Source organism: Homo sapiens, chromosome X (assembly GCF_000001405.40).
Source record: "Homo sapiens chromosome X, GRCh38.p14 Primary Assembly".
NCBI classification, from domain to species: Eukaryota; Metazoa; Chordata; class Mammalia; order Primates; family Hominidae; genus Homo; species Homo sapiens.
Window position 1 is genome coordinate 134001098 of NC_000023.11, and position 13991 is coordinate 134015088.

Here is a 13991-nt window from a genome sequence, read left to right on the forward strand (position 1 = left end):
CTTAAGCCCGTCCTTGCCTTCAGGCATTTGAGCCAGAGGAATAGTCACTCTTTTCTTTAAGATCTCCAAGGACAAAAATTCCACATGCAGTTATTTTATTATAAACGTGTGAACTGTAAAACATATTTACAAGGTAATAATATTATCATCCATATTTAAATGATTTCCTTTTTAAAACATTTGCTTGCCCAATTTAAAAAAAATTAATGAACAGTAAAGTTCTTTGAAAAAAAAATCCTTTCAAATCCTTTCAATAGAATTATTTCTCCTCTTTTTGAAGTACTTACTACAAGGGTCATTTCTCCCAGAAAATTCTACCAGAAATTGCTATGTTTCTTCTAAAAAGCGGGTTTGCTTTTATCTTGCGGATACCCTGAATCAAGATACGCTTCCTTTTTTGCTGTGGTTGTTGGAAAGCCCACAGCCAAATTTGTGTCCCCTCCCTTCTAATCAATGCACAGGACCTCACCCCAGCTTCACCTGTTTGTCTTCCTTTATTTTTCCTTCATCTACATTTCTTCACTTAGTTGTGCTTTTTGGCTTTCCTGTTGTTTCTGGGCTTTCTGGTTTTCTGGTTTGTTTTGATGTTTGGAAGCAATATAGTGAGGCAAGAGCAGAGACTCTGGGGACTAATATACTTAACGCTTGGCTCCCAGCTCTACCCTTTCCTATGTTAACCTTTCTTTTCCTCATCTGTAAAATGGAGAAAACAATAGTAGTCATGGGGTTGTTATGAGTGTTAAATGAGAAAATACAAGTGTAGTGCTAAGCCAACAGTAAGCACTCAAGATATGTTCATTATCAATATTATAACATTGCTGCCCTAAATCATTTCAGGAGCAAGAGGTGCAAAAGAGAATATAATTATTTATTCTCCTATTTCAAATGTTCAATCTTATCTCCCCTCTTATTCTTCCTGTTGCATGAATTGTCTTTCAAGCAAATTATTTGCTGCTGTTTCTGCACTTTAATGAAACTCCTTCTACTATGTTACAGGCTAGTGCTTCCTAAACTTACTCGAACTTAAGAATCAGCAGAAGCACTTACTAAAAATACAAATTTCTGTTGGGTGCAGTGACTCACGCCTGTAATCCCGGCACTGTGGGAGGCTGAGGTGGGAAGATTGCTTAAGGCCAGGAGTTGAGACCAGTCTGGACAACATGAGACCCTGTCTCTATTTTTTTAAAAATACAGATTTCTGGCCAGGCACAGTGGCTCACGCCTGTAATCCCAGCACTTTGGGAGGCCAAGGCGGGCGGATCACGAGGTCAAGAGATCAAGACCATCCTGGCTAACATGGTGAAACCCTGTCTCAAATAAAAATACAAAAAATTAGCCGGGCGTCGTGGCGGATGCCTGTAGTCCCAGCTACATTGGGAGGCTGAGGCAGGAGAATGGCGTGAACTCGGGAGGCAGAGCTTGCAGTGAGTGGAGATCGCGCCACTCCAGGCTGGGCGACAGAGCAAGACTCTGTCTCAAAAAAAAAAAAAAAATACAGATTTCTAGTCTTTTTTGTTGTTGTTGAGACAGAGTCTCGCCCTTTCACCCAGGCTGGAGTGCAATGGCACAGTCTCGGCTCACTGCAACCTCCACCTCCTGGGTTCAAGTGATTCTCCTGCCTCAGCCTCCCAAGTAGCTGGGATTACAGGCACCTGCCACCACGCCAGGCTAATTTTTGTTTTTTTAGTAGAGATGGGGTTTCACCATGTTGGCCAGACTGGTCTCGAACTCCTAATCTCGTGATTCACCCACCTCGGGCTCCCAACAGTGCTGGGATTACAGGTGTGAGCCACCATACCTGGCCCAGATTTCTAGTCTTAAACACCTAAAATTATTTTATAAATGAATAGCTCTAGAATAGGTGTTTCTGGGACTAAAGTATTTTATACCACATTGTCTATGCTTTTCTCCAAGAATGTCATCACAGACAAATTTCCACACTTGATTTCTATGTAGTTAGTGTTTCTTTATCATTTCAATTTTTGTTTCCTTGTTTTCCCTTCAGTAACTTTTTATGCTTTTTTTTTTTTTTGGTTGTTCTGTTACCTGTTGTCCTGCCACTTGTGTGAGTCTGTCTTTTTCCAACTCCTGAGGCAATAGCAGGTCTTTTCCCACCCGTCACCCCAGCATTCCTTTGGGTAAAGTATTTAAGAGCTAAATTTGTTGGCCTGTTTGGGTCTATTGGGGACTGAAGGTATATCCACATTAAGAGAAACAGTTATTCTGTAACTGTTTCAACCACTTCTTCACAGAGAAAAACATCTGTGCCTTTTTAAATTTTTATTGGCCTGCTTGATGGCTCCACAACACAGTGAAGAAAGAGCCCCACCCACCACAAGGTTCTTCGTCCTGCTGGGGAAGCCACACAGAATTGAGACCAAAAAGTACGGAAGGAAGGAAGGAAGGTAGAAAGGAAAGAAGGAAGGTTTTATCTGCCTTCCTTTGTTTTCTATGGATAAATGCCAAATCCCTCATACTTAAACTTTTTCCCCGTCCTTTACTTTGCCTCCCAGTTTTCTTTTGAATGAATGAGTAAATTGTTCAAATTTTCTCAGTAATCTCCCTCTGTAGCTCATTCCAGTGTTTAATTACTTTGACAGAAGGAAGGGAGGAAGGGAGGGAAGAAGGAAGGAAAGGAAGGAAAGGAGGGAGGGAAGGAGAGTGGATGGAAAAGAAGGAAAGAAAGAAAAAGAAAAAGAGGAAAGAAAGAAAAAAGAGAGGGAGAAAAAGAAAGGAAGAAAGAAGAAAGAAAGAAAGAGACAGAGAGAGAAAGAAAAGAAAGGGGGGGAGGGGGGAGGGATAGCATTAGGAGATATAGCTAATGTTAAATGACGAGTTAATGGGTGCAGCACACCAATATGGCACATGTATACATATGTAACAAACCTGCACATTGTGCACATGTACCCTAAAACTTAAAGTGTAATAATAATAATAAAATTTAAAAAAAGAAAAGAAAAGAGAGAGAATCCTGCCTATTAAAATCCTACAATCTGCCCTGCTTTTATCTTAGGACTGTTCTGGCAGTTTCCCCTTGTTACACGTGTGTTGCTAGGATAGTACAAGTATTTTCAAGATGAATTTTCTGCCAAAAGTTCTTGCCACTGAGTCATCACCATCTTCATATTTTTAAAAAACATGAGCAAGTCTCAGCAGCACTTCATTCACATTAGTAAACATTACCTAGGGAAAGAAAGAACAGGCCTCAAGAACATGACATCATCATTAAAAAATAAATGTTTACTGAGTCCCTATTCAGTGTGTGGCCCTGTGTTAGCCCTAGAAATATAAAAATGTGCCTGCTTTTAGGCTCACATGCACACACATATACTCCCATGTGTTAAATCTAGAGAAGTGGTGCAGACTAGAAGGATTATCGGAATTCCAAGGAGGGAGCAATTCTGCTCCAAGGGCTGGGGTGGTCACAAAAGGTAGGGCTCCAGGCCCCAAAGAAAGGGTAGAGAGCTTGAGGGAATTAATGTGAACAAAGACCAGGAAATAGTAATGAAAATAGTTTGGGGGAAAATAATTAGTAGACCATTTGATGGGAGCAGACAGATTGTGTGGACTGGAAGATGACTAGGAGATAATAATGGAATGGTAGACCATAGTCTGCTTGTAGAGGGCCTTGAATTCTAGGCTAATTAGTGTAGTCTTAGCCTATAAGCAATAAGGAGCACCACTCTCACAGATAAAAGAGAGCAGACCACTCCAGCTTCAGAGTACCTTCAATCAAAAGAAGCACGGACATTGATTACAAGAAGTTTTGTGAAATGTCTCAAGTGTGTATAACTATTTCCCATATTTGTAACTTTGTTATCTCCATGGTATCAGTGTTATTTGGGAGGACAGCAAGAAGAAGATAGCTGGCAAGATTACGTCCTACTGGAGATGAAAAGGACCCTAAGAAATGGTAAGTGGCAGTGGTTTTAAAGTAGAAAGATAGATATGAACAATCTCTGGGGCTCACAGAAGGGAGAGAAAAACAATCTCTGGGGCTCACAGAAGGGCTTGTCATATGTTCACAGCATGCAGCTCCACACTGGCATATTGGGGGCCAGCGTAGGACTGCAAAATGCCTTTGAGGGCTTAACTGAAAGGAGTCTAGATAGTTCCTGCCAGCCCCTTAACCTGCTGAATTTCTCCAATAGCATATCTCATGCCAGTTTAAAGGAAGAGACTTAAATGGACATTGTTAACTGAATGCACCATTTTGTGAACTCCAGAGAGCCCTGAGAATATTCTGTAAATACCACCTTATTGAACTAAGTGGGATTGACTGGGTACCAGGTAACATTTAGTTGAGTTTGTTCAGTCTTCTAATTTGAAGTTGCTGCTTAGACGATAGTGGTTCCCCACCTCTGCACCCAAATTTGAGGCAAAAGTGAAAAAGCAAAAAAAAAAAAATTTTCAGGCAAGAGTTGATTGTGATTGTGGCCTGTTAAAATAAACAGTTGATGTGGATAATCAGGAGCTACTTTCTGCTCTCCTCCAAATTAAAAAATGGCTTCAGTATTGGTGAATAAACAGTTGTCCATCCAGGATCAGTTGGAAAGGGCTTCTGCCTCCATTGATCTTCTCTTCTAGCTGAGTTGTTCTCTTCCAGTCCTAAATTTACCCCTATCCTCCTTTGCAAGTAAAGGGGTTGTTAACATTTAGCTGATGGGGCACAAAGTCATCAGAAAAGACCTTGTTGCCTCCTTTCATCAACTCTGCCCATTAGCCAAGCAAAAAAGAAACATTGGTTTCTTAATTGACTTTCATAATCCCTTTCATAATCATTTTGTACGTGGTACATACTAGGTACTCAATAATTATTTGCTGAACAAAAGAATGAATGAATGCTGGGCACTATCCTAGGTCCTGGACGTGCAGCAGTAAAGAAGAAATAAATAGACAAAATCCCTACCCCCATGGAGGTCAGATTCTAGTGACAGAAAAGAAGGAACCATAGGGTCCCAAGTCCTACTAGAAATAGCACTAAGCACATGATAGGTACTCAATAGATACGTAGGGAAATGGGAGACACTGTAATATAATAATGCATATAGTTTATGTTTCTCCTCAGTCTCACTGAAAAACATCATTATCCTCAAATAATTAAAAAATAGAATTATGAACCCAGGAGTTCAAGACCAGCCTGGGCAACATAGCAAGACCTCATCTCTACCAAAAATAAAAATAGAATTAACATATAATCTAGCCATTTCACTCATAGGTATATTCCCAAAAGAATTGAAAGCAGAAACTCGAACAGATAGATATGTCAGTATTCATAGCAGCATTATCCACAGTAGCCAGGAGGTGGAAGCAACCCAAGTGTCCATCAACAGATGAATGGAGAAACAAAATATGGTATATACATACAATGAAATATTATCCAGCCTTAAAAAGGAAGGAAATTCTGATACATGATACAACATGGATGAACGTGGAGAACATTATGCTAAGTGAAATAAGCCAGTCACAAAAAGACAAATTCTATATGACTCTACTTATATGAGTTATCTAGAGTAGTCAAATTCATAGAGACAGAAAGTAGAATGGGGGTTGCCAGGGACTGTGGGGAGGGAGGAATGGGGAGTTACTGTGTAATGAGTATAGAGTTTCAGTTTTGCAAAATGAAACAGTTTTGGAGATTGGTTGCACAATAATATGAATATACTTATTACTAAACCGTACACTTAGAAATGGTTGTGATGATAAATTTTATGTTATGTGTATTTTGCCACAATTAGAAAATTTTTAAAGCCACTTATTAAACATTCTTTTTTTCTGAGAATTGTACAAAGATTAACAAACACAAACCCTTTGCTGGAGTTTACATTGTAATACAGACCCTTCATGATGTGGCCAGGCATGTCAAGGCCATACAGACAAGAGAAGACAAACATTCAGCCTAGATATGGAGAGGCAGCTGAATATTTACATTACCCAACAGAGCAAAGGTGAGTGCATTTTGGGATGGAGGGAGGGCAGGCTGTCCACACAGTGTGATTTGACTAAATACTATTGGTGATCCATTTCTCAAAAATATATCAACTCCATTGCTTGTCATATGTTCTGATATTTTAGCTCTTTCTTTTGACTCTTTAAGGATTAGGAACTTCCGCAATTCCTTATGAGTAGACAAAGAACCCAGAAAGGGACAAGATTGTTTTCTAGCTAACAGTTAGCCTCCCTTTTTTTTTATATTATGGGGGTCCAAGATGAGAGAGGAAGCAATGGGAGAAGAAAGAAGATGGATGGGCAACCAAGATCAACTTCCCCCTTTCACGCCCAAGTAGACGAGGCTGGGGAGACAACACATATTGATGTAGCAAGTCCACACTCACAGACTTAGAGGAGCTGTCTGCCCATCAAGTAATGGAGAGTCAAGGAAAACCATTTCCAAATATTAGTACTGACCAGCCTCCACAGGTAATGGTCTCCATTCCTGCTGCCAGAATTACGCTGCAGAGGCTGGGGTAGGGATAGGATGTTTCTCCCAACTTTACATTCTATGCATCTCTTAATAGAGACAGCAGGGTGAACCCCCTTTACCTTACCCCATCAGTACAGTCATACCTCAGTCCCTCAGGTGCCACCAACTGTGTGTGTGAGATTGTAGAGAGAAAGATCTTTGCATTCTCCATGAGGGTAAAGTTTGCTGGGCAGGATTCTTTAAATCACATCACAAATGCCTTTTCATCTTAAAGGAACAAACTGTTTCTAAGGACTTTAGCACATTGTTTACGAGTCAGTGAATACTGCTAATAACAAATGGGTCTTATCTATTCATGAAAGCAAGTCTCTGAGGATCTCTCTTGGGAACCACTGTGAGCAGTTAGTTTGAGTTATGGTACACATAGACTTCAACTAATAAAAGGGCATGTTTTAAAACATTCCAGAATTCCAACCTGTCACTAATTCAGATTGCTCTGCCTGCCCCCACCCCCATTAGTCCAAATAGATGAGATTTTGCTGAGGCAGATTTTCAAGTAGTTTGCAAATGGTAAACACAAAGAGGGGATCTCTTTCTCTCTCTGCCTCTCTTTCTCTCTCTCTCTCTCTGAGACACATCACTTGACATCTTACTATTAGGATCAATAGGTGACAATTTCTCTCGATTTATTATTTACCTTGGTTCTCACTACAAAGTTAGATTACAACAAGAATGGACGCTGACTTTCTTGCTTGGTGCTCAACGGCTTTGTTTTCCTTACACTGACTCTCTTTTGTCATCACGAAAGTCATTATTAGGCTAATGTAAAATTAAATTAGCTTACATTCAACAAGTACAGGAAGCACAAATACTCATCAGTGGGATGGCTTAGAAGGATCCTAGAAACGAAATCAGTATCTCAAAGAGATATTAGCACACCCATGTTCATGCAGCATTATACACAACAGTGAAAACGTGAAAACAACCTAAACATGCATTGAAGGATAAATGGATAAAGAAAATTTCACACACACACACACACACACACACACACACACACACACACATATATATATATACACACAATGAAATATTATTCAGCCTTAAAAAAGGAGATCCTGCCATTTGCCATGGCATGGATGAACCTGGAGGACATTATGTCAAGTGAAATAAGCCAGACACAGGAAGAAAAATACTGTATGATGGCATTTGTATGTGGAATCTAAAACAGTTGAACTCATGGAAGCAGAGAGTAGAACAATGATTGCCAGAGGTTGGGGGGTTGGGGAAATGGGGAGATGTTGTTCAAAGGGTACAAACCTTCAGTTATAAAATGAATAAGTTCTGGGGATCTAATGTACAGCGTGGTAACTATAGTTAATAATACACTGGATTGTTTACTTGAAATTTGGTAAAAGGGCAGATTTTAAGTGTCCTCACCCCACCTCTCCACACAGAATGGCAATTACAGGTGGTGATGGATGTGTTAATTTAACTTCAGTAATCAGTACACAATGTAAATATATATCAAATCCTCATGTTGTACACCTTGAATACATACATTTTTTATTTGTCAATTAAGTTTTTTTCCAAAACTTTTTTTAAAAAGGAAGTATCCTAGAAGATGCTCTGGCCAGTCACTGTCTTGGAAACATCCCTTGGTTGCAATACCTGTTATGTGCTACTTTTGAATACTTTCCAAGATCATCAAGCTATAAGCCACATGGTAAAGAAAATATAGCTATGATCTATTTGAGGGACATGTGGAAAGAGAATATTTAAATGATAATCTAGTTTTTCAAATCAGACAAAGAGCCCTTCAGCTGTAAAGGCCTGTAGAAGCCCATCACACCGAGGGTTCCAGTTTGTGTGGAATGGTTAGTTTCTAAGGAAGATATCAAGCTAGGTTCAGAAACTATAAAAGGTCTTTGGCTTCATAGATAGATAGATAGATTGATAGTTGCATTTGCTTTCTTCATCACAGGAATTGTGACTTGCTGTTGAGAAAACATTTTGAGAGACCCAGGAATAAAAATAGAAACAGAGATGCTGCTCTGGTTTTCATTCTCATCAATAGAAAGGGAATGTCAAGGCTGTGGTAATATGAACTTCCCTGGCTCGCAGTAGGTAAGAAATGCGACTGAGGGTCTGAGGCAGTTTGGTGCTAGGAGGAAGTTATTCTGAACTGGGCTTTGCAGCCCAAATACTTTCTCATCCCTCACCTCCCAGCATGCACCTCTTGAAATAAGCTTTCAAAGCTTATCAGGCAGTTTATAAAAACAAAGGGATTCCTCTTCCAAGAAGTTTCTGGTCTGAGATGACACAGGTAGTACAGAAATGTTCCGTTGTCAAGCAACCAAATATATGCATTAACTGAGGAATAGAAGAGCATCAGCATTTTAGCTTCAAAGGCAAATTCAATGAATTTGAGATGTACAATCTTACAACTAAGACTTCAAAACTAATTTTCAAAGTACAAGTAGATCTAAGTCAGTAGAAGAGGGCTCAAATAAATGCAGAATCAAAGATGCTGTGGCCAAAACAAGTGTGAGTGAATCTTAGGGAGGCACTTTTCTTATTGAAATGGTTCTTTTTATTTGTATAGTTGAAATGGGCCACCTCCTTTATGAAGCCTTTCCTTTTCCTCACACTTTACCTGGCTACAGTGGGCTACTCCTATCTTTAGGTCTCACTATGCCCCGAACATACTCCATCATGTCACCTGTAACAATTGATTGTATCTTTTTGTTTTCATGTCTGTGTGCCCCACTAGACTTTAAGTACCTTGAGGACAGGGTTTTATTTATTTGTGTGTATGCACTCTAGCTCAATACCTGGTACATAGTAGGTGTTCAATAAACTTTCTGGAATGGATGATATCCCATGATTCCTTATGATAAAAAGAGCAACAGCTAAACAAATGTTTCTATTAGAGTTATGTCAAGCCAATTTAGGGCTCTGCAGACAAAAGAGAACTGTAAATTCCCAGCTCCTAAGTCAAAGGTTAAAGACTTGCCCCACCCTAGCCATAGCTCCTTGATATGGCTCCTGATTAATAATCTGTTACATCCTCAAAAGGGGTCATTTTAAGGTAACCCAGTAGAGCTCCCATGACCTATTGACCTTATTATATCGCCAAAAAGGAGCTAACTTTTGGTCAAAGGATGGCAGAGTACTTTCCTGTGATTTGCATATTACCCAGAAACCTTTGGTTTCCTGGAATTCATAATAAAAATTCCAAATCCCCAGCAATAACTTCCCAACCCACAATTCTTGCTAACACAGCAGAGTAACACTTGGATTCTATACCAGGCCTACTGACCTTTTGCTAATTGCAAAATAAACAGGTCTCCAGTTTAGAGGGGCCTTCTCCTTTTATGGGCCCCCTGCAGTGTAGGCACTGCTTGAATGGTATTTATTTCTGCCATATTTGCTTTCCAGCACTTGTCAGAGCAGGGGGCAGGTGTCTGGGAATAGAAGAAATAGGGATTGGAATAAGAGGAGAAAAGCAAGTGCCCCAACATCCTGAATGAAGTGCCCAGCTTATTCTTCAGAAGAAGCTGACGTCCTAGGAAGATGTGTGCAAATGAAATTTTATTTTAAAAAATTTTCAAGCATTTCTGAGACTTTACTCTTATGCCTAGCCCTGCCTCCACATAATTCACTGTCCAGTAGGGAAAACAGACACGTAAAAAGTGATAAGCACTGTTACAGACACAAAGGCTGGGGGAAGCCTAGGGGATAGATAACTGTTCTCCATTGGCCAGTGCTAGTGATTGGCCCAGAAATATGGCAGGGAAAGACTGCAGTAGCACCATGAAGATGCTGCCACAGATCGTGGGGCTCCTTCTCAGTTTTGCACGTTTAGAAACTTAATTTTATGTGTTGCTGTAGGGCTAATTAGACTCCAAGGGGTTGACCCATGATAAATCAAAAAGATACACATTAATATAAATGATAAACCAGGGGCTGGGCACGGTGGGTCATGCCTGTAATCCCAGCACTTTGGGAGGCGGAGGCAAGCAGATCACTTGAGCCCAAAGTTTGATTGAGACCAGCCAAAGCAACATGGTGAAACCCCATCTCTACCAAAAATACAAAAATTAGCGAGGCCTGGTGGCACACACCTGTAATTCAGCTACCTGAAAGGCTGAGGTGGGAAGATCGCTTGAGCACGGGAGGTCGAGGCTGCAGTGAGCTGTGATCGCACCACTGCACTCTAGCCTGGGCGACAGAACAAGACCTTGTCTCAAATAAATAAATAAATAAATAAATAAACTAAAATTGATTTACTATATATTTACTATATGCCAAGAGACATTCTAAGTGCTTTACACGAATTATCTCACACTCATGGCAACACTTTCATCACCTTCATTTTTTAAATAAACAGAGGCTCTGAAAGGTTATGACTTGCCCAAGCTGGTCAAGTTGGGATTCTTATATAAAATCTGTCTGATTCTAACGCCGATGCCCTTAGCACCTACACTCACAGACCCTCATTGTTTTATACTGAAAAACAGAGCTATTGGCTACTTTGTGCATTCTTTCCCCAAGAAGGAAGATGATGGAAACTGAGTGAGATCCTGAAGATTGTTTGATGAGTGCCAAAATCAGAGCAAAGAGCTCAATAAATATCGTACATGAATGAATATTTTAGAGTCCTCAAACTATGCTAGCCTAGTGAATTAGACTCCTTCATCCCTTCACCATAGATCCCAGACATTAAGTTGACCAGTCAGGGTACTCTTTCCCCCTCAAAACCCCAATGGTTAAGTTGAACTCTGCGTTGCTGCTTTTTCTGGCCTTAAATACACATAATTGGGCCCTGCTTGAACCCTAGTCTGTGACTAGGATCTTAAATACTATCCTTACTCAGTTTTTGCCAGCTTTCTTCTGAAAGCTGGATCCTGTTCTCCCAAAATCCTACCCCATTGCCCTAGGGTGTTCCATCTACCAGACTGGTCCTCCTAGAACTGATGATACTCAGACTTATACCTGAGTTACCTAAGTCCTTTGGACCACTCCACTATCCTAATTAAAGTTCATTAATATATTGATCTAACTAATCTTTACTGGGTACCTACGATGTTCCAAGCACTGTGCTAGGGGCTTGGGATATAGTTTAAAAACACTGAGGTTTATCCATCAAGGTCTGGACAGGAAACAGATGGCACACTCAAAGTGAGTAATCTGGGGAGCATTTCATAAAGAGGCTATTTAGAAAAGTATGGGTAGAGTATAGGAACAAGAGATGGGGTCGCACCCTAGAGATAGTAACAGCAGGGAGCCATTACCCCTCTAGGCCTGAAGGGCCAAGAAGAGGGAACAGTATGAAAAGAGTGGCTTTATAAGAGCTGTGGTCTTCAGTAGAGGGACACAGCCACTGCCAATACTTGGCCCATCAAGAAAGAGCCTGGGGAATAAACAGTCCAACTTCATTCTCTTCCTACCTACCAATCTCCATTTGGTGCCAAACATAATCAGGGGTCAGAAAGCAACGGAGCCCATTATTGTAATCCATATAGGTCAGCCTGCAGTGGCACAGGGCAGGCTGAAGAGTGATTCTGAATATCCAGTAACACTATGCAATGGGATGATTTACTTCCTAGCCCCAATCTGCCCCACTCATGATTCTTTCTACTTCCTCCCTCCTCCTTAACTCATACTGCCAAAGACTCAGCTTGTTATCATGCCACATGAGTCATCCCAGTCTTAAAATTAAGTGAGCTCCCCACAGATTCCGTGACTAATTACTCACAAAACCAGATTACAGACCTGAACTTCTAAATCTCAATCCAAAGTGTTTTCTTCTATAGTGCCTTATTATCTGTAAGATGGTGGAATGCTAGTATGAGGATGATGATGATGATGATAGCTGTCATCTGTTGAATTCTTATGATTTGCCAGAAACTGTAGTAAGTGTTTTGCATATAATGCCTCACTCTGAGAATAGTGTGGCTTCCTTAAGTGTCTAATACTCAGGCAGGAAAAAACCTGATTTCCAGGGGACAAGTGAGAATAAAGACCAACTTCTTAACTTTACAGATAGCAGAACATTTTTATGGGTCCCATTTCCATTCTGCCTCTGTCACCCTTGAATTGCCGTGTACCAGATGCAAAGAGGATGTAGTTAACACATTCTAATAATGGGCTCTAGGAAGAGAGCTGCTTTTATGGAACGCTCTCCCGCTGCCACTTTGGCTTCTGTTGCAGAGGCTGCTGAGTGTGCTAAATGCTCTCCAAATGCCCAAGGGGCACTCTCAAGATTTGAACATGCAACCAGAGGAGCTTAATTATGGTTCCTGAGAACCAGAATGATTCCATTTATAGCCGTTAAGTCCTGAAAGGCAAGGTAGGTGTTTGGGGGAAAACTCAAACTTCTCCTAAGGGTCAAAGCAGTTTCATCAGTGATTTGATATATCCATCTAGCACAGCTCCCCACAAAAGTTACAGAATCTGGAAGGAACCCAGCATCTCTACTTGCCAGACCTTCCTTGGGGAGCTGAACATAAGCAGAATACGCACTCCCACACATATGCAGAGCAGTTTACCTTTGTTCACCAAATGCGTACCCAACAGTATGTAATCTCCATTAGATTGGAGATTTTTGTCTGCTCCTCTCATCCCCAGTGCTGCATTTCTGGTACCCAGGTGCTTGGTGTATAGTTGGTGCTCAATAAATACTTGTTAAATGAATAGATCAATGAAATGGGAGGTTTCCTCTGCTGCCCAGAGACTCTGTAAAAACTCCTGATGTTATCTTTTTTTTTTTGATATGGAATCTCACTCTGTTGCCCAAGCTGGAGTGCAGTGGTGCAATCTTGGCTCACTGCAACCTCCACCTCCCAGGTTCAAGCGATTCTTCTGCCTCAGCCTCCTGAGTAGCTGGGATTACAGGCACATGCCACCACGCCTGGCTAATTTTTGTATTTTTAGTAGAGCTAAGGTTTCACCATGTTGGCCAGGCTGGTTTCGAACTCCTGACCTCAGATAATCCACCCGCTCGGCCTCCCAAATTGCTGGGATTACAGGCGTGAGCCACTGCGCCTGGCCTCCTGATGTTATCTCAATTGGATATTTCTCTGGGCCTCCAGAGGATACTGTCTTCCCATTGTCTCTCATACTGGAGTTTAAAAGTTTATCTTTCTCATGGCATTTTTTACAATCGTAGTTGAAATGAATCTCTTCCTAGCATGGGTTCAGACTAAAGCTATGCAGTTAAGTAGAATAAATATCATTAGAACACTTTTGGCCAGGCGCAGTGACTCACGCCTATAATCCCAGCACTTTGGGAGGCCGAGGCAGGTGGATCACCTGAGGACTGGAGTTCGAGAGCAGCCTGGTCAATATGGTGAAACCCCATCTCTACTAAAAGTACAAAAATTAGCTGGGCATGGTGGTGGGTGCCTGTAATCCCAGCTACTTGAGAGGCTGAGGCAGGAGAATCTCTTGAACCTGGGGGGCAGAGATTGCAGTGAGCTGAGATCATGCCATTGCACTCTAGCCTAGGCAATGAGAGCGAAACTCCAAAAAAAAAAAAAAAAGAACACTTTTAAAATATAGA

General features: G+C 40.9%; 1 annotated feature.

The window, feature by feature from the left end:
* Window positions 12011-12211: a silencer, noted in NCBI's record as "peak7430 fragment used in MPRA reporter construct". NCBI's record gives its function as "represses an SCP1 promoter by STARR-seq MPRAs in K562 erythroleukemia cells {active_cell/tissue: K562}" and the evidence as "EXISTENCE:reporter gene assay evidence [ECO:0000049][PMID:32103011]".